Source organism: Homo sapiens, chromosome 13, assembly GCF_000001405.40.
Source record: "Homo sapiens chromosome 13, GRCh38.p14 Primary Assembly".
In the NCBI taxonomy this organism is placed as follows: Eukaryota; Metazoa; Chordata; class Mammalia; order Primates; family Hominidae; genus Homo; species Homo sapiens.
The window spans coordinates 98165666-98192171 of NC_000013.11; the positions used below are offsets into that span (position 1 = coordinate 98165666).

At 43.3% G+C, this 26506-nt stretch overlaps 2 protein-coding genes across 4 annotated transcripts in view, besides 1 other annotated feature; one reads left to right on the plus strand and one right to left on the minus strand.

The window, feature by feature from the left end:
* Nucleotides 1-26506, plus strand: part of FARP1 (FERM, ARH/RhoGEF and pleckstrin domain protein 1) — a 312588-nt gene that overhangs the window by 23077 nt on the left and 263005 nt on the right. The gene's annotated exons all lie outside the window — the stretch shown is intronic.
* Nucleotides 7850-8144: a silencer, noted in NCBI's record as "tiled region #2492; K562 Repressive non-DNase unmatched - State 21:Repr". NCBI's record gives its function as "represses a minimal TATA promoter and a strong SV40 promoter by Sharpr-MPRA in K562 cells {active_cell/tissue: K562}" and the evidence as "EXISTENCE:reporter gene assay evidence [ECO:0000049][PMID:27701403]".
* Nucleotides 10120-11604, minus strand: RNF113B (ring finger protein 113B). Its single transcript, NM_178861.5, has 2 exons — nucleotides 10617-11604; nucleotides 10120-10511 (listed from the first exon to the last, which is right to left on the minus strand). Exons 1-2 carry the CDS (start codon nucleotides 11569-11571, stop codon nucleotides 10498-10500), a joined length of 969 nt encoding a protein of 322 aa, NP_849192.1. The 5' UTR covers nucleotides 11572-11604; the 3' UTR covers nucleotides 10120-10497.

Genomic DNA, 26506 nt, shown 5'->3' on the forward strand with positions numbered 1-26506 from the left:
AATCTCTCATCATTAAAAAAAAAAAAAAAACCCTTCCAGAAGGGGTTTTTTTTTTTTTTTTTTTTTTTTTTTTTTTTTGTCTCACTCTGTCATGCAGGCTGGAGTACAGTGGTGCGATCTCGGGTCACTGAAACCTCTGCTTCCCAGGTTCAAGCAATTCTACTGCCTCAGCCTCCAGAGTAGCTGAGATTACAGGTGCACACCACCACGCCTGGCTAATTTTTTTGTATTTTTAGTAGAGGTGGGGTTTTGCCATGTTGGCCAGGCTCGTCTCGACCTCCTGATCTCAGGTGATCCACCTGCCTTGGCCTCCCAAAGTGCTGGGATTACAGGTGTGAGCCACTGCGCCCAGCCCAGAAGTCTTTTATGCATAGACATTTAGCATGAATAGTAGCATACCCTAAATATGGTGTTGTGCTTGTTCTCTTCAGTTTAATACACTCCGAAGATGGTTTCATATTAGTACATACAGATTGGCCTCATTCTTTTTATCGGCATATAAACAGAGGGTACCATTAAATAATCTGTAAAATTTTCCCTGTCAATAGACATCTAGGTTGTTCTGAATATTTTGCTGGTCTAAATGACACCACACTGAAGATGGGTGATACCTGAAGTATAAAATCCTAGTAGGATCAGTGGTCAAAGGCTGTATTTGTTTTTAATATACATAGATATTGCCATATTGCCCTCCATGGCTTACAACCTTATAACCGTTCATTCGTTTTATGAACTTGCATATAGTGCTTACTTTGTGCTAGAAACTATATCAAATGTTTTACAAATATTAACTTGTTTAATCCCCAAAGCTACCTGTAGGGGAGAGGTATTATTATTATCACAGTTTTGCTGATGAGGAAACTGAGGCAGGAGAGATGAAGTAACTTGCCCAAGGTTCACCTCAAGTAGCAGAGCAGAGATTTGAACCCACACAATCTGGATCTGCTGTTGGCTCTTAATCACTGTGTTGAGGCTGTTTTTCCCAAACCGGAAACCTACAGTGATGGCAAATATTTTCACCTGTCCTAATCTGATCAGTGAGATGCCAGTTTTTCTTTCTTTTTTTTTTTTTTTTGAAACAGGGTCTCGTTCTGTCACTGTGGCTGAAGTGCAGTGTCGTGATCATGGTTCACTGCAGACTTGACCTCCCTGGGCTCAAGGGATCGTCCTACCTCAGCCTCCTAAGAAGCTGAGACTATAGGCGTGCACTACCACACCTGACTTAATTTTTTTGTATTTTTAGTAGAAATTGGGTTTTGCCATGTGTCCCAGGCTGATCTTGAACTTTTGGGCTCAGGCAATCTGCCTGCCTCGGCCTCCCAAAGTTCTGGGATTACAGGCATGTGCCACCACACCCGGTCCAGTTTTTCTTAATTGTCATTTTGCACTTTTCTTACTACTCGTTGTGGTTGAATACATTTTCAAACGTTGACAACTCGACAAGCCATTGGTATTTTCTTGACCATCCTTCTACTCCCTGTTCCTGTCCCTTGGCCAATTTTCTAGGAGGTTGCAAATATTTTTCTTATTGATTTATAGGACTTCCTTTATATATGGAGAATTCTTAATTGATTTATAGGCGTTCCTTTGTATATGGAGAAAATCAGCCCTTTATAATATGTAATTCAAGTACTTTTTCCTAGTTTGCTTTTGGCTTTGCACTTTTTTAGTTTTTTTCCCTTATGGCATGTAGCATTTAGGTCATGCTTAGAGAGATCTGCAATTTGAGAACAGTTTTACTTTTTTTTTTTTTTTTTGGAAACAGTCTCACTCTCACTCTGTCACCCAGGCTGGAGTGCAGTGGCGCGATCTCAGCTCAATGCAGCCTCTGCCTCCCTGGTTCAAGTGATTCTCCTGCCTCAGCTTCCCTTGTAGCTGAGATTATAGGTGTCGACCACCACGCCCAGCTAATTTTTGTATTTTTAGTAGAGCTAGGGTTTCACCATGTTGGCCAGGCTGGTCGCGAACTTCTGACCTCAAATGATCCGCCCGCCTCAGCCTCCCAAAGTGCTAGGATTACAAGCATGAGCCACTGCGCCTGGCCGCAAACAGTTTTAAAAAATCTTATGTTGTCTTCTAGAACTTTATGATTCATTTAAAAAAGTCTACATTGACTCAAGTAATATTGGGATCTAATTTTATTTTTCTAATAATAATCAGTAGTAATGATGCACAGCTATACACGAATAAAGAGCCTTCCAATAGATTAGATTTGGTGCCATGCTGGCCGGGTGCGGTGGCTCACGCCTGTAATCCCAGCACTTTGGGAGGCCGAGGTGGGTGGATCACGAGGTCAGGAGATCGAGACCATCCTGGCTAACACGGTGAAACCCCGTCTCTACTAAAAATAGAAAAAATTAGCCAGGCGTGGTGGCGGGTGCCTGTAGTCCCAGCTACTTGGGAGGCTGAGGTGGGAGAATGGTGTGAACCCGGGAGGTGGAGCTTGCAGTGAGCCAAGATCGTGCCACTGCACTCCAGCCTGGGTGACAGAGTGAGACTCCATCTCAAAAAAAAAAAATAAAATAAATAAATAAAAAAGTTTTGGTGCCATGCTGTTGTAATAGACTCTACTATCACTATTGACAGCTAAACTGCATCATAAGCTTTGTGGCTCATGTATATACCATAACTAATTTTCCTTTATCGCTGAGTTTTGTTTCCTGTGGAGTCAATGGTTATCTTGCTTTTCCTTTGCTTCATTTTCCACATATGTATCTAATTAATTCTGAAACTCTCACCTGTTGTCTAAATCGACTTTTAGTCTCTTCAGATTAATCAGATCATTAGATATCCTGTTTCATCCTTGAGAGATCCTTGTCCAGAAGTCTTCAGACTGGGCCAGGTTTCTCACTGGCCTGGTCAGCGTCCTGGGGTCTCCCCTACTGTAATCTACTGGGGGGGTTCCCCTTGCCTCTATCACCTGATGTAGGATCTTTGTCCTGGACAGCTTCAGGGATCTCCCCATGACCCTGATGATCCCCTTTGCTTCTCTTTCTTGAAATTTGTTTCCTGGAGCTTATCTTCTGATTTCTGTGTTTTTTTTCCCCCTTCATTCTGGTAGAGCCCTTCCCAAAGTGATTGGAGTGATAAATGCTTTGAGACCTTGTGGATTTGTTAGAAGATCAGAAAACAGGATCTTGAGCTGAGAGGCTGTTTAAGAAGTAGTTGAAATGTTCAGGTGTCCTGTACTTCCTGCTGTGGGCAGGGGGGATCAGCTCTCAACCCCCGCTGGACTCACCCAATGTGGTTTGCAGTGCAGTCTTTGTTTAACTCAATGTTGGTGTGTATATCATTATGACTGTGTGGACTTGTTCACTGCTGAGCCAGATAATGCCCTATGATAGTTTTCTTCAAAAACTGTTTTTTTTTGTTGTTAAGATAATTCATTTTTTAAAATTTGTTTGATTTTTCTACGTATCCATTGCTAATAACTTGAACCGACCTATCAGTTTTCTTTCAACTAATTTGTACTGATCTCTAAGCCATATATAGCCATTCAGTTCCCCCATCATCCTTTTTCCTGGTGCTTCACCTTCTGTAGCACCCCCATCCTTCAGCTTCTATCTGAATGGGTTGTACTCTAGGCGTAGTTCACAACCATCATTCAGGGGCTTTCCTTTACCCTTCTTCTTTCTTGGACACGCTCTTTTCTGGATTCCGTATCATCTCATTTCATGATTTACTGCATTGTTTTGGTAGAACACATACACCCGTAGCTTTCTCAGAAAGGTAAAGAAGCTACATTTCTTTTGAATCTTTAACATGTGAAAATATCTTTGCTGGATGCAGTGGTGCATGCTTGTAATTCCAGCTACTTGGAAGGCTGAGGTGGGAGGATTGCTTGAGGCCAGGAGTTCAAGACCAGCCTGGGAAACAGGGCAAGACCTTGTCTCGTCTCTTGAAAGAACAACAACAAGAAACTTTAAGGCATGCTTAGATTTCCTTGATAATTTTACTACATACAGAGTTAAAAATGGAAACTACTATCCTTGAAATTTTGAAGACATTGCTCCGTTGTCTTCTAACATATTTTGGATATGATTTAATTTTTTCTTTTTCTCCCTGGAACATTTTAGAATCTTAAGATTTTAAAGTGTCACAACTTCTGTCATGTACTTCGGTGTAGATCCTTTTAAAATTATGCTGGGTATTTTGCTTTCTCCATTTAGTCTGGAGACCATTGTCCATCAGTCTGAGATATTTCCTAAGTTTTCAAAAAAAAATTCTTCTAAAAAAACTTCATATTATTTGATTATTAGGGCTTTAGGAAGATTCTCTACTTTCCTACCTTTAAAATTTTCCATGTAGTTATGTTTTGCCTTACTTTCTATGAGATCTCTTCAAATTAATCTTTATAAACTAATATAGAAATAAAACTTTCAATTATCCATATTATCAATTTTGGGGAGCTATTGGCCTTTTTTCCATAGCAACTCTTCTTGTATTTTGGAAGAGATTCTTATTCTCTTGGGGAATAGTCTAGATTTTAAAACATTTTCTTCTGCTCCCTAGAATGTCTGCATTTTTTTTGTTTTTGATACAGAGTCTTACTCTGTCACCCAGGCTGGAGTGCAGTGGCGCGATCTCAGATCATTGCAACCTCTGCCTCCCGTGTTCAAGCAATCTTCCCACCTCAGCCTCCCAAGCAGCTAGGATTACAGGCATGCGCCACCATGCCTGGCTAATTTTTGTTTGTTTGTTTATTTGTTGAGACAGAGTCTTGCTCTGTCACCCAGGCTGGAGTGCAATGGCGCGATCTCGGCTCACTGCAGCCTCCACCTCCCGGGTTCAAGCAATTCTCCTGCCTCGACCTCCTGAGTAGCTGGGACTACAGGTGTGTGCCACCACGCCCGGCTAATTTTTTGTATTTTTAGTAGAGATGGGGTTTCACCGTGTTAGCCAGGATGGTCTCTATCTCCTGACCTTGTGATCTGCCCACCTCAGCCTCCCAAAATGCTGGGATTACAGGTGTGAGCCACCGCACCTGGTCTAATCATTGTATTTTTAGTAGAGACAGGGTTTTACCATGTTGGTCAGGCTGGTCTCGAACTCCTGATCTCAAGTGATCTGCCCACCTCGGCCTCCCAAAGTGCTGGAATTACAGGTGTGAGCCACCGCGCCCGGCCATCTACATGTTTTTAGAAGGTTTTTTTCCTCTTCTTTGTTTTGGATGTGACTTTCATTTTGCAGGCTTTTCTTGAATGCGTACTGATCTTTGGCTGATCCAAGGCACTTAAAATCAGGTTGGAATTTTTGTGCACATGGATGGGGCTTGTCAATTGTTGATTTTTCTTTAAAATGATGAAGCAGCAACTGGTCATTTTTGTCAAAGGAAATCCTCAAATATCAGTATATGTGCTCATTGAGATGGTCCTGAGAATAATTCTACCAGCCCTGCCTGGAATAAACCTGGATAAGCTATTCTGGAAGCAGGATGGAAGAAGGGGACTGTGGAGGTTTCCTGGTACAGTAAGTAGACTGATTCTTCCTCAATTCCCAACACCTCGTGCCTCATTTTCAGCCCTGAATTACACACACCCTCTTCGTCATTGTGCCTGGCGTATGTGAGTTTCTAATTTTCCTGGTTCAATGTCCTTGGGTAATAAACTTCTTTGGGGTTTGGGTAGGTGGGAGAGGGTCCCTGGGTGCAAAGGTCTAGCCTCTTCGTATAGTGACTTACACCCTCTTGTTTCCCACGCCCTTCCCCCTCCCATTCAGCATGAGCCTCCTGGGCTTTGGACTATTTTGTTGGAATTCTCTGAGCATCACTTATGATACAAATCATCACAGACCTCTCTCTTGCTTTCTGTCACCCAAAAGTCAGTAGAATGTTTTATCTGCTCTTGTTCCTGCTGCTATAGTCCTCTTAAAGTATATTTACTGGCATTTTTGTAGGATTTTTGGTGTTGATACAGGCATGTGGTTAATCTGCCATGTTCAACTGGAAGTCCATTTTATTTTACCAAGGTATAACATAACATGATTTAAAAATTTACTGTAATAGCAGTAATCATACCAGAGCTACATTGTTAAAAAATATGCAAAATTTTTATTTTCTAAGGGTGCAGATTCAGTCAGATATTCACAGATTAGTCTAATTTATATGATTTGCTTAAAGTCCTCCTCCCCACCAATGAGGTAGCCTCTGAACTCGTCTGAGAGTGTGAATGACATTTTTGAGTTGACCATTCAGACTTGTGCCCCTGAACGTATCTGCACACGCGCTCGGTCACATTTCTCTATCTCATTTTCTTCCCTATCACACAGAAAATCACATTCAGCCTGAGGTTTGGTTTTGTTTTGCATTAGGTCTCTGGCTGCAGGTGTTGTGGCGCTCTGGGGGTGTCTGCCTGCCTCCTGTCAGTGCAGCAGTTCTCTTCTGGATGGTAACAAAGAGAAGATGTCACCGATAATGCAGGGCCATGGAAATCCGGCCGTTCTTTATCTGTGCTCTGCTGTTTGTTGGGCGGGGTGGGGAAAAGTATGAGAATTCTAGTTCTGATTAGCCGTGAATGAGACTTTTCTCAGTGGGAGTCCTGCGGACACCAGGGTGTGGTGACTGATTTCATTTCTGCTGCTCAGGGATGTCTCGGTGGCTGTCGGCCCAGAGTGCTTGGAAGGCAGGAGAAACTGGCAGGATCAGCAAGGCTCTGAAAATAGGGCGTCATGGGGGTTGGCACGGGGGCTGGGGCTGGTCTCCGGCAGTGCCACTGAGCAGTTATGTGACCAGCTAGGTTTCTGGTCTCCTTGACCCCCTTGGAATTTCCTCATGACCTCACCTCCCCAGGGGTTGTAGCCAAAGAATGAAAATCACAGAGCTGCCTCTAGCATAGCACCCTTAAAATGCTCGGCTATGAAACGAACAGTTCCTTAACATTCAACAGACAGAAGCAGAGAAAAGTTACCTGTTAGCCCTTAACCTGCCCGCTTCCTGGTTTCTTTTAGACCTTGGGCAAGTGTTATAGTTTTCATATTTATTTTTTGGAAGTGGAGAAGCTGGAGAGAGAAGGAAGTGAGCTAATAACCAGCTTTTCAAGAGTGCTGACTTCTGCATTTCTTAGTACAGGATTTTGCCAGGCCCTTGACATTCGTTTAAAGGAAGAAAGAATTCTTTCTCCTTGAACATCTGTGCAAATCAGTGGGGGTGGGAGTCTAGAGCCCAAGGAGAGTATGAGATAACTTTACACGTTTCTGAAAGCTAGGATGAGAGACAGCAGATCCACGTTATTGTACTGCACTGGCAACAACCCAGTAGCAAAGGCAGACCAATGAAATGTGCCAAAAAGATGCATTTGTAGTGTGGTATAATCACATTTTGAAAAATGTGCAGTAGATAAGTGGGGAAATACGCATTCTGGTTGCTTCATAAATAATAGTAGTTAAGGATATCTATCAATCTCGTGTTTTTTAGCTCCAGCACTGGGTATGTAGAATAAAAAAGGCAAACCGAATCAGTTTGGCATAGAGCTCTTTTCAAATTCAGCATCATTTCAGTGCATTTCAGCTTTATACATAGCTCTCAGCCAGGAAATCTCAGGTTTAATTAGGTCATTTGTTCTTGAGAGTTCTGTCCTTGCAAAACAGGAGAGGAATTTTTATGGGCAGTTGGCACACAGAAAAAGTCAACAGCAAAATGTCCCTGTTTTCTTCAATTTTAGGTGGTACTTATAAAAACTCCTTAGAAGGAATTTTGTGTATTTCAGGATATTAATCAATCTGGGTACAGTGTTTTCAGGTTTTGATTTTCATGTGCTCTAGGTTTTTGCCTCTCCTGGAGTCTTTGGAATCCTAGGGGTTTGTGACCTTGGAATGCAGGCCTGTGAGGCATTTTCAGGATTTCAGAAGGCCTAACCAGAAACTGGCAGTCATGGGGAGAGGGAATGGAGCTGCCTCCATAAGTCCATGCAAATTAATGAAAACATCAAAGCATTGTTTGGTTTTGCCAGATTTTTCTCATGTTGCTCATGTTGATTCCGAAGGACTTATTGACCATTACGTGTGCCTTCAGTGAACAGAAAAAAGGTCAAGTCAGTTGTTGCTTAACTGCAGCCTGGCTGATGTGTTCTTTTGACCGGAAAGATAGGGGTTGGGGTGTGATGTGGTGGGACCTGGTCCAGACAGGATAAAGTGCCGGTAACCACGGTGCTAACTTTGAAAGCCAGCTGGCCCCACACTGCTCTTCACTTCCCCAGCAGGGTGCTGTGTAAGGTGGTGCAGTGCTGATGGGGGACTGTCCTCATCCCTGTTCTGAGCTGTTTCAGCAAAAGTCTGAGGGGTCGCTCCAGCGTTGTGACCTTAGAGCGTGGTGATGGGAAGGACTCAGCTCCCAAGGAATGTGTGCACTCCCTGCAGTCCTGCTTGCTTCTTCCTTCCAACTCCAGAATGTTTATTTCATACATTAATATGAAAAATACACAGAAAAAAGACTGGAAGGAAATCGGCCAAAATGCTAGCAGATTTTGTTTACCCACTCTATGTTAGTAAACCAAATTGCCAAATTCGGCAACGCTTACTAGTGATCGCCTTTCTGCTTAATTTTGCAAATGATTGATTATGAACCTTATTCTGTCATTTTAAAAATGGAATAAGAACTATATATCTTAGTGCATATTTGGAATGTTTTCAAAAGGTTGGTGACTTGGAGCACTTGTTGACAAGGTTCACGAGCGTAGCTGAGTCCAGTGTCTAGGAAGGGACATACATGAAGCATTGTAAAGAAACTCGAGTGAGCCTTGGGAGAAAAATCCTGGAGCCAGAGCTTAGAGTTTCTGCTTCGGAGTGCCTGAAAGTTTCATATTTCTTCTTTTGTGCAGATTCCAAATGTTTTTGGAAGGCTTGAAAGTGAATAAAATAGCCCTTTGACAGAACTGACAAAAACGGACGGACTTAGGGGTAGGGCCCAGTAAGTCATTGTACACAAGCTTTGTGTTGTTAGCTTTGGCAAGGACAATTCTTAGAGAAAGCTCTATGTGAAATGCCAGAATAAATGGCTCACTTTTATGGGGCACTTGAACTGTCTGCCTTGTCGACTATCAAGCTGCCATTTTCCCTGCTTGAATTACAATAATCGATATGTTGATAGCACATACTGTATGTCAGGCACTGTTCTAAATATGTTAATTTTTGCTTCAAAACAACCCTGTGAGATACTACTATGTATGAGGAAACTGAGGCACAGAGAGGTAAAGTAACATACCCAAGGTCACGCAGCTGTAACTGGTAGAACCATGACTTGAATCCTATCTCGCTCCTGGGTCTGTGCCCTCAACCACGGCTCTGCTTTTGTCTGCAACCTGGCCATGGTGGTGGGTGGGTCGATGGGTGTGGTTCAAGGTCAAAATCACGTGGAAAGTTTTGCCGAAGTTCGCTCTGCCGCAGTTGCTTGCATAGCCGACTGCTAGGTAGCTTGGTTTGACTGACTTTTCACTAACTGACTTTTTATTGAGCTACCTGTTGGCCATTAAAAAACAGGAAGTATGTGAGACATGGTTTCAGTCTTCAAGGAATTCACAGCCAAAGTTGATATATGAGATAGGCTCTTATGAAAATTTACATAATCTGTGTCAGTTCCTTGTAAGGAACTCATCAGCTGTGAGGAACTCAGCGTGGATCTGTTGGTGTTTGTCTTGGGAGAGGAATACATTGCCATTTTAAGGGAGAGGATGTTAACATCAGCCAAACAAAATCAAATCCAAACTTCAGCGTGGATATTCTTCTGTCAACTCCTCCCCTCCTTGGTTCTTAACTGATATCCTTTATTTGCTGTTTTGGTAACTCTTGAACCCCATCCTCTCCACTCCCTCCCGGTCTTGGTTCCATCATTTCTTCCTTTTCTGATATCTCTTTTTAGCTTTTTTGAAAAAAAAAATTAATTATAGTACAAAACATAAAATGTACCCTTAACCATTTTTAAGTGTTCACTCATATTAGGTATATATATATTGATGTGTAACAGAGCTTTATAACTTTTTCATTTAGCAAAACTCAAGCTCTGTACCCATTAAACAACAGCTCCCCACTCCCGCTCTTCCTAACCCCTGACAACCACCATTCGACTTTTTATGTAATTTTGACAACTCTAGATACCTTATATTAGTGAAAAATCATACAGCGTATTGGTCATTTTGTGACTAGTTTATTTCACTTAGCAGTGTCGTCTTCAAGGTTCATTCTAGTTGTAGCATGTGATCCTTAAAAGGATCAGTTTAAATCTTTAAAAGGATTTCCTTCCCGTTAAGGCTTAATAGCATTCCATTGTGTGTGTGTATCGCATTTTGTTTGTCCATTCATCCATCCATGGACACTTGGGTTGTTTACACCTCTTGGCTTTTGCAAATAATTCTGCAGTGAACATGGGAGTGCACATACCTCTTTGAGATCCGGATTTCAATTCTTTTGGTTACATACTCAGGCATGGGATTGCAGGAAGACTGTCATCTCTCTCATCTTACTCAACAGGCTGCTTCTCCCCAGTGTACATACAGACTTGAGTCTTTCTTATCTCTTTTTTCCTAAAAGAACAAAAAAATTTATTTAAATGTGAGAATTATGGGAAACCTAAGCCATGGGAATTGGACACTCATGGGGGTCTTCTGTGAAATGGGACTTGCCCCCACCTTCTGCAGCCTGAAGCTTTTGCAGTTTCGCCATCAGTTCTTTGGCGGGGTTAAAGATGCCGCCGGTTGGCTGGTCACAGATGTAGCAGCGCGGGGTGGCCCGGAAGTGCTCCAGCGCGCAGCTCTCGCAGAAATAATGCCTGCACTTGGTGACGACTGGGTTTTGGAAGGCCTGGCGACATATGAAACACCTGAATGGTATTTCCTCTTCCTCGCTTCCCACTTCATGGTTTTCGTCCTCGCAGATACAGTAGCGACCCTCTTCAAGCTCCCGTTCAATCTCCCACCCGAGCTTGTAATCGGAACGGTCGTGGAGGAATTTGCAGCTGTCCCCGAAGCCACAGAAGCCAGTCTCCTTGTAGTCCTTGCAGATGTCAGGCTGGTAATCCCAGCGCACAGTGGCGCGCAGATGCCCTGGCGCACGTATGGGGCCCTTCCTCGCCATCCCCGAGGAGGAGTTGCCCATGGACGTGTCCTTGGGCTTCAGGTACCTCAGGTAGCTGTGGATTCCCCGGTAGATGTGGTCGTGCTCCCGACCCCGCAGTGCCTCCTGGACCCGCTGGCTGCACTTGAGGATGGTCGGCGTATGGTGCTCCTTCTCGGTGTCCTGCTCGAAGTCAGCGGTGGCCCCCATGTCCTCTGGCCCCACAGGCTTCGCCGAGCGGGTGGACCTGTACACCACGTCGAGGCTCTCAGGCGCCGCCTCCTCGCCCCTCCTGTCGCCGTGAGCCGCCTTCTGCCAGCTGTGGAGGCCCCGGGGCCTCGGTGCCACCCGCGGGGGCTGAGCCACTGTGTCGCCCTCGTCCCCGCTGCTGCTGCTCTCTCCGTGCTCGGGGTCGCAGGCCGGGCGCTTTCTGAGGCCTGCAGCCCCTTTCCGTCCAGGCTTTTTGAAGAGGAAGGTGCATACCTGGTCTGCTTGGTCGGCCGTCCTTCCTGGAGAAGGTGGCGCTGCCATGTTTGAGTCTCAGGCTCCCAACGGCCGTGGCGTGCGTCACCCTTGCGTCGCCCTTGCGTCGCTGCACGTGGGGCGTGGGCCCTCCCAGTTCTAAAAAGCAAAAGCAAGTGAAAGAAAAGCTTCTGCTAGGCCAGGCGCGGTGACTCACTCTTGTAATCCCGGGACACTGGGAGGCCGAGGTGGGAGAATCACCCGAGGTCAGCAGTTTAAGACCAGCCTGGCCAACATAGCGAAACTCCATCCTTACTAAAAATACAAAAATTACCTGGGTGTGGTGGCGTGCGCCTGAAGTCCCAGCTACTAGGGAGGCTGAGGCAGAAGAATCGCTTGAACCCAGGAGGCAGAGGTTGTAGTGAGCCGAGATCACGCCACTGTACTCTAGCCTGGGTGACAGAGCGAGACCCTGTCTCAAATTAAAAAAAAAAAAACCAAAAAAAAAGGCTTCTCCCGCCCTTCCCTCCCTTGACCTGCCTCCTGGCCCTCAGATGGATTCCTTGAGAGAGTCATCTTCACTTGCTCCTCAGCTCCCTCAGTGCACACTCATTTTTCAACAGATTCCTAAAAGGCCACGGGTGGAATCATTCCAGGCCATAGCGAACCGGTGGTGCTCATCCTAAAACACAGGCGCTTGAAATGCGTATTTAAAAGCAACACACGCGCAGTGCAGAAAACAAAAACAGATACAAGCAAAAAGTAAGACGCCTATAATCCCTCCCCTCAAAGATAACCACTGTCAACACTTTTGTGTCTATTCTTTTAATATAGCCTTTATTAAAAGACTGTCATATCACACTGCACCTGTGGGTGTGTAGCTGGCTTTCATTTTGAAATAAAAGTAACACATGTAAACATTTAAAAAAATATTATCAAGCACTTATTGTAATGGAAATTGGCTGTCCCCTGCCTGGCCCCTCCACACGCCAATTCCTGGTACCTAAGATAATCATTTTTAATTTTTTTTTTTTTTTTTTTTTTTTGAGAAAGAGTCTCGCTCTGTCGCCCAGGCTGGAGTGCAGTTACATGATCCCGGCTCACTGCAACCTCTGCCTCCCGGGTTCAAGCAATTCTCCTGCCTCAGCCTCCTGAGTAGCTGGGATTACAGGTGTGTGCCACCACACCCAGCTAACTTCTGTGTTTTTAGTAGCGACAGGGTTTCACCATGTTGGCCAGGCTGGTGTGGAACTCCTGACCTCAGGTGATCCACCCACCTTGGCCTCCTAAAATGTTGGTATTACAGGCGTGAGCCACTGCACCCCGCCTTCAAATATTTTTAACCCTTTTTTTTCTTGAGTTTATCTTCAAGTTGTGAAATAATTCATTTATATAATGTAAATGGATTCTAGTTCTTATTTAGCCAGTGCATGTCATAAAGTGTTACATGCAATTTCTTTTTCTAATTTAGGTTCTATCTCTTTACTTACTAGAATGGAAGATGAGATTCAGCTCACTTGTAGTGCCCCCAAAACACTGGCTGCTGTGGGATGAGGGAGAAGTTGTGTGGGTCTCTCTTCCTAGACACCAAGGCATCCTCAGCTGTTGGAAATGTGATGAATAAGCTTACAGTGTAAAGAACAATTCATCATTTGTCAGTTTTCTCTTAGGATAGTAATTCTAGATTTTTCTTCAACTGTTATCATCCCATCTTTCATGTTGGAAGCTTTTCTAAAATACTTGGTTATCTCCAGCTGTTTATACTTCAGAGTGAGGTGCCTAAAAGCTGGCTGGAATCCATCGGTATTGTTGGGCTTGTACACTGGACTGTCCTTTGTGTGATTCAGTTGGAACCCATCTTTTTTCTTGGAGACCCCCAGATGTTGGTGTCCATATTAGTCCGTTTTCACGCTGCTGATAAAGACACACCTGAGACTGGGTAATTTACAAAAGAAAAAGGCTTAATGGACTTACATTTCCATGTGGCTAGGGAGGTCTCACAATCCATGGTAGAAGGTGAAAGGCATGTCTCGCATGGCAGCAGACGAGAACAGAATGAGAACCAAGTGAAAGGGGTTTGCCCTTATAAAACCATCAGATCTCATGGGATTTATTCACTACCACAAGAACAGTATGGGGGAAACTGCCCCCATGATTCAGTTATCTCTGGTAACTGGGTCTCTCCCACAACACAAGAGAATTTTGGGAGCTACCATTCAAGATTTGGGTGGGGACATAGCCAAACCATATCAGTGTCCATAGGTCTTTTCTGCTGGGTTCTCGAGTTTCTACAGAGAAGACTTATCTCACATTCCGCTGTGGGGTGTGATCTTTGCTGCCAGAATTCTGTGATAAGAGCTGTAGAAGTGGGCTGGGAAGGGAAGGCCTTATAATTTGGGGTATAAACTTTGACTTGGCCTGGCATGGTGGCTCACACCTATAATCCCAGCACTTTGGGAGGCTGAGGCAGGTGGATCACGAGGTCAGGAGATCGAGACCATCCTGGTCTACCCCATCTCTACTAAAAATAGAAAAAAAAATTAGCTGGGCGTGGTGGCGGGTGCCTGTAGCCCCAGCTACTCGGAAGGCTGAGGCAGGAGAATGGCGTGAACCCGGGAGGCAGAGCTTACAGTGAGCCGAGATCAAGCCACTGCACTCCAGCCTGGGTGACTGAGCAAGACTCCATCTCAAAAAAACAAAACAAAACAAAACAAAAAACTTTTGACTTAATTCCTCATTTTTAGTAAAGCATCTGATTCCCACCTTTGGTTGTTCCCGGGCCCTTTGAGCTTAGGCCCTCCTAGATTCAGCCTCCACAGAAGAGATATCTCCTGCTTCTGCCGGGCTAGGGAAAGGGTAGCCAGGCTAGGGAAAGGCTAGGGAAAGGCTGCATGGGGTGGGAGATTGTGTTAGTTTTGCATTGCTATAAAGGAATGCCTGAGGCTAGGTAATTTATAAAGAAGAGAGGATTAATTGACTTGTAATTCTGTAGGCTGTACAAGCAGCATGGCGTTGGTATCTGCTTCTGGTGATGGCCCCAGTAAACTTCCAGTTGATCACAGTGGAAGGCAAAGGGGGAGCAGGCTGTGTCACATGGCAAGAGTGGGAGTGAGAGTGGGGAGGGGCCACGTACTTCTAAACAACCAGAACAAGATCCCTGGGTGAGCACCCAGGAAATGGTGCTAAACCACTCATGAGGCATCCACCCCCATGATCCAGTCACCTCCCACCAGGCCCTACCTCCAACACTAACCACATTTCAACATGAGATTTGGAGGGGACAGACATCCAAACCGTATCAGAAAATTTTCAGATTCTCAGCCAGTCTTCTTGTGTGGAGCCATATCTGTTTCCAGTGATACTTGATTCTTGCAGTTCCTGGGATTTGTCTTGAAATTGGCATGCTGCTGCTTGTCATCTCCCTCCACAGCCTTCAGTTTCAGCCTTCTTCCAAGTTAGTTGAGATTTTTCAGCTCACTTTATTTCTTCTAAAATATTATTGATGTTCTTGTTTTCTCTGGTGTCTCTTTCTTCTGGCTCCTTTTGTGGGAATCTGCCTTTGTAAAGTAATGTTTATCATTTTAGTGGGATTTTGGGAGGGAATAGGGGTGAATGCCTGAGTGCAGTCTGCTGTGTTGAATGAGGAATGGTAGTGGGCTGTCTTCACTTGATAAGTATTTTCCCCTGTTCCTTAGTATTTCTCCATAATGTGCATTTTAATGCCTGCATAATGATCAATTGTATGAGTCTATGATGCCTTATTGTCCTAATACTCTGTTGTTAGATTATGTGTTTCCTCATTTATATACCTTTCCCTGTGTTTACATTTGTTTTCTTAGGGTTGATTCCTACAAACAGAATTACAGAGTTTAAGCATTTTTAAGTCTTTTTTTTTTTAAGACAGAATTTTGCTCTTGTTGCTTTCTGAAAGAGTTGTATTGTATGTACATCCACCAGACATGCATGAGTATGGCCGTTTCATTGCAGATAGCACTTCTCCCTGCTGGTTTAGGTCCACACATGCCTACTAAGTGAAGGAAAAAATTGGGATGAACCAAATGAACTTCAGTAATTCTGTCAGCTCACATGTTAACGTAGCTTGGCTGTCTGAGGTTACATCCTGGCGCTGTGACCGACAGCAAATGACCTAACTGCCCTGGATTTCAGTTTTATCCCCTGCAAAGTGGGGTATAAGAGGAAGAATAATAAGTGAATAGACTTAAGTTTAGATTTTTGCCTGGCTGGCAGCGATGGAGAAGAGCAAAACCAATAAAGTCAGTTTCTTAGGTAGTAATGAAAAGATTGTTCTTTATTATTAAAAAGTGACTTGTTTGGGAAGAAGTGATACATTCTCATTATAAAAAAAATACAAAAAAGTAAAAAGAAGAAATGAAAAACCTCACCCTAAATCTTACCATTTAGAAATAATATTATTTATTTATTTATTTATTTATTTATTTATTTATTTATTTATTTGAGAGAGAGAGAGAGAGAGTCTCACTGTTGCCCAGGGGTGTGTGGCGCAATCACAGTTCAGTGTAACCTCAAACTCCTAGGCTCAAGCGATCCTCCTGCCTTGGCCTCCCAAAGTGCTGGGATTATAGACATGAGCCACTGTGCCTGGCCAATGATGTTGGTAACATTTTTTGAGCCCTGTCTAGAACTTGCCATGGTCATGGGGTCTTATCACACATGGTATTTAATACTTAAAGATGTAAAATAAAATAGACTTGAATTAAAGCAAAGGAAAAGAAACTAAAGCAAGATAGAAATGCTGACTTCATTGCAAGAGAGATTAGCGCTATCTTTTAGAAACTAAATTTATGACAAGATGATAAATAATAAATACTAAGAGATTAGAATAATTTCTTATAAACTATGAGTTTGTGAGACTCTCTCCTTTGAAAGCTAAAAAAAAAATAGAACTGACCTATGCTCCCCCTCTTTCCCAAGCTCCAAAATTTTATCAGTTAATTATGAATTTTACAGTGTGAAGGATTGTAACATTTCTATTCTAATAATGCCACAATTCCCATAGCTCTTTGACTTAGTCCCCTTTTAGGATGGATTCAGAACTTGTTAGTCTTTTTACTGTTTTTTTTTACCTTGCTTGAGTTTTAAATTTTGACTCATTGGTTGGTTCATTGTTTTATTTATTTAATCGATTTTATTTTTTGAGACAGGATCTTGCCCTGTCGCCCAGGCTGGAGTGCAGTGGTGCCATCATGGCTCACTGCTGCCTCACCCTCCTGGACTCAAGTGATCCTCCTATCTCAGCCTCCTGAGTAGCTGGGACTTACAGGCACACGCCCCCACACCTGGCTGATTTTTGTATTTTTTGTAGAGACTGAGTCTCGCCATATTGCCCAGGCTGGTCTCAAACTCCCGGGCTTTAGTGATCTACCTGCCTTGGCCTTCCAAAGTGCTGGGATTACAGGGGTAAACCCAGTGTGGCCGCATCCAGCCACATTATTTTATTTAGAGAAGCCCTGGTAGGTACTGTGTTCCTTGAGGTCTTAACACTTAAGGATAGCTGTTCCTTGCTTTTATATTTGAAGGACAATTTGGCCGAGTACCAAGGTCTTGGGCCACACGTTCTTGCCCTCAGAATTTCTTAGACATTGCTCCCATTCTTTTTTAGCACTGGATATTTCTGGAAGAGAAAGCTGAGGCTGGGTTAATGTTTCTTTCTTTTGCACATGACTAGCTTTTTCCATTGGATGTGCCCATGAGGTTCTCTGATTCTTTTTGAAGTTTAGAGTTTTACCAGCATTGCTTGGGCATTGGCTGTTTTATGTCACTTTCCTGGTATGTCCTATACCATAATATCTGTTGATTCAAGTCTGTCTTTATATCAGTAAAATTTTAAGATCCTTTAATATTTTTGCATATATTTTGAATGGTGCTCACTTTTTGGGAACCATAGTTGTTAGGTTTTATCTTCTTTGCCTTCTAAATCTAGCATCTATTCTTATTATCATTTGTGTATCTTTGTCCCTCTTGTTGTTCCTTTTTAGTAATTTTGAGTGATTTCCTTGTTTGTTCTCTGCCTCTGTTTACAGAAGCTTACACTATGTTTTACTGTAGTTGTGTGGCTTCCATTCTGGATATTTTTTTTTCTAGTCCATTTATTTCTTCAACTCTATCAGTCCATTTAAAATCTCTTAGATTGATGACTGTCAGTTCTTTGGAACTTCATATCTAGTCTCTGAGCTCCCCATTTTTAGAAGGACCATTTTATCTTTAATATTTTTGAGACAATGGAGGACTATTTTTTCTGAGCTCTTAGTCTGTTACCTTCGTTTTTCAGGCCCAGATTCCTGGGCATGGGACCTCTGCATCCACTTAAGGGTCCACGCTTGGACGAATGCTCCCGTCATTGTCTTGAAATTGTTAATAATTTCTGAACAGCGGGCACTGCATTTTTGTTATGCAGCAGCTTCTGTTGATTATTTTTACAAACGCACCTTATTAGCTGCCTTTGCCTGTGTTCTTATTCAGTGGTCGCTCATCTTTGAATGAGGCCGAGCTGTTTGCCGCAAAAACTGGTGTGGGGTATGCTGAGGACTGGAAGGCAGGGGTGGGGAGTGTTGTGAAACCTGCTCATACTCGCTGCCTCCACTGTCCTCCAAACAATTGTTATTTCTTTTACCTTGAGAATGATCCTCCTTCGGTTTTTGGCTTTTAGGAGGCTTGTGTGTCTCTCTCACAGCCAGTCCCCTTAGCGCCCTGGCTCTCTGAGGCTTGACATATGGTGGGCATGGCGGTTGTTCCCCCAGGCCCTTTCTTCACCCTCACTTTCCTTGTTAATCCAGGCCAGGTCATAGGTATTAAAAATGACATCCACATGGTTTCTCCTTCAGTTCCACCTTCCCAGTTAGATTTTAACTTTTAAAATACTTGAGAAGGGAGAGCAGTGTCAGACTCAAAAAGCCAGCAAGCATTGTTTTTTGTTTGTTTTTTTTTGAGATGGAGTTTTCACTCTTGTTGCCCAGGCCGGAGAGTGGTGGTGAGATCTCGGCTCACTGCAACCTCTGCCTTCTGGGTTCAAGCGATTCTCCTGCCTCAGCCTCCCAAGAAGCTGGGATTGTAGGCGCCTGCCACCCCACCCGGCTAATTTTTGTATTTTTAGTAGAGATGGGGTTTCACCGTGTTGGCCAGGCTGCTTTCGAACTCGTGACTTCAGGTGATCCACCTGCCTCCCAAAGTGCTGGGATTACAGGCATGAGCCACCACGCCCGGCTGCCTTTTAATGTGTCATTTTAATGTGTCATTTTAAAGTTCTGTGCTAATAAGGATGTAGGAGGTTATTTGATTTTTGGAAAATTGTTCATACTATATTAACATGTAAAGGTGCTTTATGAAACAGTATGTGGAGTGTGATTCACCTGTTGTTGCTTCTTAAGGAAGTACGACTCTACATTAAAAAATATTTGAAGGGAAAAAAATACCAAAATGCGATTGCCTGGATTCCTAATGTCCATCCTGCTTCCGCCTTTGGTGATGGTGTATAGCAGTGGCCAACTCCACAGCCTTTACATTTTCTCAGTGATCCTATGCTCTAAGAATTTGTGAGGGACTTGTTTTTAAAAAGATTGTTTCTAGTACCGTGTCTACTCTCTTTTGTGGATTAAAATAAATTCATTCTGATGTTTTTGGCAAATACTTCAAGTGTATTTTAAAATACATAATTTTATTGACAAGATACTTTGAACAGGGAAGAACCAGTTTCACAACCAGCTCTCTTGAAAAACAAAAACAAAACTCTAATTCATAGAGTTTGCCAGTTTCCGTGGTGTAAATATTTCCACCATGGCCAGTTGCAGGCTACCAACATGACATCATTGCACACAGAGTTAGGAAAAAGTGTGTGGTAGCACATTCCTATGTAGTATTGTTACCATCCAGATGCAGCAGGCAAAATAACCTCACAATCACAGATAGATAAAAGTAAAATGTAAAATAATTGGGAAGTGATGATTTTTGAGTATTCATTACTTCTGTAAAATTTATGCTTAATAAATATTGATATAATTTATTTTAATCCATATCTTTATATAATAACTGGCTGGTAAAAATTCCTGAAAATTTAACAGCAGGTCCCCATGAGTTGATACAAAAGCAGTATACCGCTGGAAAGAGCCCTTGAATTTTTAGAAAGGGCTTAACAGGGCAAGTCAAGAAAGTGAAGCATGCAGGCGTTGGGATTGGTAAGATAAAGCTCTCTATGGTTGGTTCAGGTGTCGTTTTGTCCTAGATCTTTATGTTGGGGGGGCTTCCTTTTCTGTTTAAGGTTCCTCGTGATCAGAACACCCATAGAAAACTTGGGGAGATAAGCAAGTGCTCTGCTCTTTAGTATGTAATTTTCTTGGCATTCGAAATGGGATGCTACCTTTCTTGATACCATTCCTGGGAAGCAGCATAGGTTCCTTTAGAAACCTTTTAACACATACCAGGTGATTTTGATTCTGATAATTAGTTTTTTTTTTTTTTGGCTGTGGTGGTAAAATATGCATAAAATTTGATGGGTTTGTTTGTTTGTTTTTTTGAGATGGAGTCTCTCTCTGTCGCCCAGGCTGGAATGCAGTGGCACGATCTCAGCTCACTGCAACCTCCGCCTCCTGGGTTCAAGCAGTTTTCCTGCCTCAGCCTCCCAAGTAGCTGGGATTATAGGTGCGTGCCACCATGCCCGGCTAATTTTTGTAATTTTAGTAGAGACAGGGTTTTTCCATGTTGACTAGGCTGGTCTCGAACTCCTGACCTCAGGTGATCCGCCTGCCTCGGCCTCCCAAAGTGCTGAGATTATAGGCGTGAGCCACCGCGTCCGGCCACATTTACTGTTTTGATCATTTTCAAGCATGCAGCACAGTGGTATTCAGTGCACTCACATTATTGTGCCACCATCACCATCATCTATCTGCAGAACGTTTTCTTTTTCTTTTCTTTTTTTTTGAAACGGAGTTTCGCTCTTGTTGCCCAGGCTGGCTGGAGTGCAATGGCACGATCTTGGCTCACCGCAACCTCTGCCTCCCTGGTTCAAGCGATTCTCCTGCCTCAGCCTCCTGAGTAGCTGGGATTACAGGCATGAGCCACCACGCCTGGCTAACTTTTTGTATTTTTAGTAGAGATGGGGTTTCTCCATGTTGATCAGGCTGATCTTGAACTCCCAACTTCAGGTGATCCACCCACCTCGACCTCCCAAAGTGCTGGGATTACAGATGTGAGCCACCGCGCCTGGCGCTCCAGAACATTTTCCATCTTTCTTCTCTCTCTCCCCTGCCCCTGGTAACTCTTCTACTTTCTGTCTGTCTGAATTTCCCTGTTCTGGATATCTCATGTAAGGAGCATCATACAGTAGTCATCCTTTTGTGACTGGCTAATTTCACTTAGCATAATCTCTTCGTGCTTCATGTTGTAGCATGCGTCAGAATTTCCTTCTTTTTAAAGGCTGCGTAATAATCCATTGTATGTATATCCCATGTTTTGTTTATCCATCTATTTGTTGCTTCTACGTTTTGGCTGTTGTGAATAAAGATGATATGGGCCGGGCGTGGTGGCTCACACCTGTAATCCCAGCACTTTGGGAGGTCGAGGTGGGTGGATCAGTTGAGGTCAGGAGTTCAAGAGTAGCCTGGCCAACGTGGTGAAACTCCATCTCTACTAAAAATACAAAAATTAGCTGGGCGTGGTGGCATGTGCCTGTAATCCCAGCTACTCAGGAGGCTGAGGCGTAAGAATTGCTTGAACCCAGGAGTTAGAGGTTGCAGTGAGCCAAGATCGCGCCACTGCACTCTAGCCTGGGAGATGGAGCGAGATTCTGTCTCAAAAAAAAAAAAAAAAAAAAAAAAAAAGCCATTAACGTGCACATACAGATATATGTGTTCAAATCCCTCCTTCCATTTCTTTTGAGTTTATACCCAGAAGTGGAATCACTGTATCGTATGGCAATTCTATATTTAATTTTTTGAGGAATTGCCATTCCATTTTCTACAGCTCATTCATTATTTTTTGACCTGGAAACTAATGTATCTTTCCAAAATGATTGCACTGACTTATGTCCCTTCCCTTGCAGGTAGAATGTCTTTCTGTGAGCCTCCTCTTTGGTGATGGTGTTCTTTCAACATATCTCATATTTGAATGTTTACACTGTAATGTGATAGCCCAATTAAGAGTGGAGATGCTGTCACATAAGGCACCGTATGATAAGTGTCAGAAGAGAAACACAAGATGCTTTGAGCTCCCAAATAGAGGGGAATGGAAAAAGTTTCATGGCATTTGAGATAATCTTTGATAAAGGAGCAGAATGTTGGCAGGTGGAGATGTGGGGGAGGAGGATCCAGGCAGTGGTAAGGAAGGGGGCTCTGTGTCCTGGGGAGAAATAGAGAAAGTCTTGGAAAGTAAGTTCATGTCACCTTACAGGGCCTTGAATGTCAGGCGAAATAACTTATTCAACTTCGTAGGTGATGAGAGCTGTGGAAGGCTTTGAGCAGGAGAGCAACATGGTTATAGCTGAGTGGAAATCATTTGAGTCCAGAAGTTGCTGGATTACCATATGGAGCTGGAGACTATAGCTGCAGAAATCGTGTGGCTGTTGAAATAATCTAGTGGAGAGGGCTGTTGGGGACATGTACAGTTAGTTATCTTATTTTCATTTTCCTCCTGTTGATGTAATTTCTGTGACCAGAGTCTTGTTCTATTTTAATCTGCAAAGCATGCTGTTCAGTATGACATGTAATAAATGTTGAACCCTCTTTGGGGAGTCAGTCAATCATGAAGACAATTATTTTGACTTGAGACAAAGAAAATGAAAGTCCTGAGGAAAAGTGTTCACATTTGCTATTTTAAGCTGGGAGAGCAAATGTTCTCAGAACTCTGCGGTCCCTTGGATTGGGTGCAGTTTGCTCTGCTGAGCGTGAGTTGGCAGCCCTGCCTGCTTGAACATGGCTGCCGCTTGTTGTTCAGGTTGAGTGGACTTTCCTGGTGGGGCCGAACACCCCTCGCATTTCGGCAGCACCCACGTGGGCCTCTTGTTCACAGGAGTGTCCTGAACAGAACAGTTTCTGTAAGAAAGAAGCCTTCATAAATATTTGTTAAAGAAGTTTCAGGCCGGGTGCGGTGGCTCACACCTGTAATCCCAGCACTTTGGGAGGCCGAGGCGGGCGGATCACGAGGTCAGGAGTTCGAGACCAGCCTGACCAACACTGGTGAAACCCCGTCTCTACTAAAAATACAAAGAAAAAAAATAAAGCTGGGCGTGGTGGTGTGTGCCTGTAATCCCAGCTACTCGGGAGGCTGAGGCAGGAGAATCGCTTGAATCCTGGAGGTGGAGGTTGCAGTGAGCCGAGATCATGCCATTACACTCCAGCCTGGGGGACAGGGTGAGACTCCGTCTCAAAAGAAAAAAAAAGGAGAAAGAAGTTTTCTAGCTAGAAAGGAGAGGCTAAGATGTCTGAAGGCTTAAAGCGGTGCCCTTGTGCCTTGACTGCTTCCTGGGTTGCCCAGGCTGACCTGCGGGTCCCCTGTGGGCTTCACTATGGCTCTAAGGGAGGTGGAGTCTGCGGTGTCCACACCCCCTGCACTCTGAAGGACCCTCCTTCCTTGAGAGAAGTCCCTGCGAAGTCCTCCTTCAGAAGTGTTCGGGGGGTGAAACGGGGACGCATGTCCTGCACATCCGAGGCTCACCGTATGGGCCCAGGCTCCTTTCTGTCATTGATACCAATTGACCTTATGTGTGCTGAGGACAGTCTTTGGCCCTGGACCCAGGATGTTTCTGAGGTTACAAGTCCAGCTTGGTGGCAAACCGATAAGGCCCATGAAGGCTCGCCAGCTCCACAGGTGTCAGACGGGCCTCAGGGCAGGAGTGTCTTTCTCCTCTCCTTGTCCTGTGATGCAGGTCACTTCCCATGATGTCCCCAGTGAATGGCCCGGGCTGGGTTGCCTGATGGGTGCTGGCCTGTGGGAATGTACTCCTTAACAAGGAGGAAGAGCCAGGTGTGCCCAGTGGCCAAGAACATGAACCCATGCCCCCTTGCAGGGCTTCAAGTAGATCAGGCAGCTGGGGCAGATTTCTTAAGGCTGTGGTCAGAAATGAGTACTTTTTTTTTTTTTTTGGTCATCATAAAGCAGTACAGGAAAAGCACTTAAAATATATTTAAGGCCTTTAATTTATAATGCATTCTTAAATAAATGTTCTTTGTCTACCTAAATTACCATGGACTGTTTCAGACCAAGTTCACAGAAGGTATTTTTTCATTTTTTGTGCCATACTTTGGTCATTTTAACAGGCAGACAAGAACAGCTTTTGATGATGAGAGAATCATTAAAGATTCTGTTAAGAAACCTGGTATTATAATGAGCAGAACAGAAAGGAACTTGAGTATATGATAAATTAGTTAACCAGATTATGTAAGTTGTAGGAATAGAAATTCCCTAACCAGCCCAATATGTATTCAAATTAAATACGTATTCGAGAGGGAGAATATTTACTTATTATTGCCATGCATATTATAGAAAACTTCTCAAGTCAGGCATCGTTGAATTTTCAATTTAAAAACTAGTTTGAGGCATAATGTAATAAATCTGTTTTGCATTTTTATTTTCAGTTTCCCAGGAAAGATTTCAGTTATAGATGGTGTATTATCACAATTTCAGGAGCAACAGTTGAGATTTGTGATTTCTATTAACCAAAGCCTTTTGGGTTGGCTATTCTTGTTGAAAAACTTAATTAAAAATTATTTTTTACTGCTTATTTAAAACATTTTTACCTTTTTCATGCAAGTTCTCTGTCTTCAAATTATACCGTGTTTCCTTTACTAGAAATGTCTGTATTTAGTGACCGAAGATTGCCCTTGTCTTCTGTTCTTGGCCAGTTGCCACTGTCCCTCCCCCTCATCCCTGCACCGTTGGTTCTCTTGACCCTGTCTGTAATGGCTTTATATTAACTTTTCTCTTTTTGAGTTGATCCGCTGAAAAATTTTAATGGTGGTGGGATTAAAGAGATCCCCACTTCTTTGTCATTTCCTTTAAAAATATTTTACAATTTTCTCCTTTTCTACAAGGTTTTTTTGCATCAATATAGGAACAATTATGGTGCAAACCTTTTACAACAAACTCTATTCCTGCATTGTACCTCCACACCACCAGGGTAAATGGTAAAACTCTGAGAACTTCCCTTTTTCTCAGGCTGTTGTTTCTAGAGATACATTCATTATAAATCAGTGTTGAAAAAGCTCCTACCTCAAAGTCTTTAACTCTGTATATGTTTATTTTGTGCTCTCTCTTATCTTCCAAACTTATTAGAAGCAAAATCAAGGTTGACTGATAGGAAATTAGCAGGATCCCTTTCCTTCCCAGCTGGGAAATGGGTAATAAGCATCAGATGACATTTCATTTACTTATTTATTATTATTTTTAGAAACAGGGTCTCGCTCTGTTACTGAGGCTGGAGTGCAGTGGCACAATCATAGCTCACTGCAGTCTCAGCTCCTGGTCTCAAGCCATCCTCCCATCTCAGCATCCTGAGAAGCTAGGACTATAGGTGCATGCCACCATGCCCAGCTTTTTAAGTTTTTTTTTTTTTTTTTGGAGAGACAGGGTCTTGAACTTCTGGCCTCAAGTGATTCTCCCCGCTTGGCCTCCCAAAGTGCTTAGATTACAGGCATGAGCCAACATGCCCAGCCTCATATGATATTTCAAGTAGATCTATGAGTGATCATTCCATGATTTTCTTTTTTAAAATAAAAACAGTGACATAGGTAGTCCTTGACTCCAGAATACCAATTACAAGTGTTCTGGATATATGGACACTGCATCTTATCATCTCCCCCGGTCCTGCCTCTGGCACTGTGCCCACCCATGCCCAATCCTTCCTAAAAGCAGAGCTGACACGCAACGTGGCCAGGACCTTTCCTCTCCGGCCCGACACTGCTGGAGGCATTAAGGGAACTCCCGGGCCTACCCCAGCTGTCGTGGTGACCTCTGATGCTGCTAGGTTCCTCATAATGGTGCCTGTTTTTCCTATTTCCAGGAGCTTCAACCTGTAGAACCCTTGACCGTACTAACCTTTGAGAACACTGCCTGTGTTCTCAACATCAAAGAGCAACCTTGGGAGTCTCGGACTGGGTGAAACGAGCACTGGGGATGTTGAACTGGGCTTCAGAATATACTTGTCAACAGAAATGAAACTAAATAGCAGTTAGGTCTTGTTCATAGTGTTGTTAAGCTTCATCGTGGTGAAATGGGCTTTCCAGGGTTGACTTGAGAACTCTTCCACCATGTAATAGTGGAAAATGCTTTGGGGTATGAAGTATTCATCAATATGAGAGTAAATATTTGGAATATAAACCTGTTCATACTGTATAGACTACCAACGTGAATTTCATCTCAATTATGAAAGCATTCTGGGAGACTATGCTTCTTCATTTTATTTTCAGTATTTCTTTTTTTCCTTCCTGTAATATAGCAATAAGACCAACCTCTTAGTTAAATAAATTTGGCCAGGTACAGTGGCTCATGCCTGTAATCCCAGCACTTTGGGAGGCCGAGGCGGGCAGATCACCTGAGGTTAGGAGTTTGAGACCAACTTGGCCAACATGGAAAAACCCCGTCCCTACTAAAAATACAAAAGTTAGCTGGGTGTGGTGGCGCATGCCTGTAATCTCAGCTACTCGGGAGGCTGAAGCAGGAGAATCACTTGAACCCAGGAGGCAGAGGTGGCAGTGAGGCAAGATCATGCCACTGCACTCCAGCCTGGGTGACAGAGCAAGACTCTGTCTTAAATAAATTAAATACGTAAGTAAATAAATAAATTTTAGAGAAAAATGACTTGTAGTCCCGAAACCCCAGCAAGTCAAATTCTTTGCATCTGACATCCAGACACTGTGTATTCCTACTCGTTGTGCAGAAGCAATTTTTAAATTCTTTAAAAAAAAAACAAACTTTAACATCATAACAAATTGAGTCCTCTGCATTTCACAGTCTTCATGTTTGTGATTTTTGAGTGTAG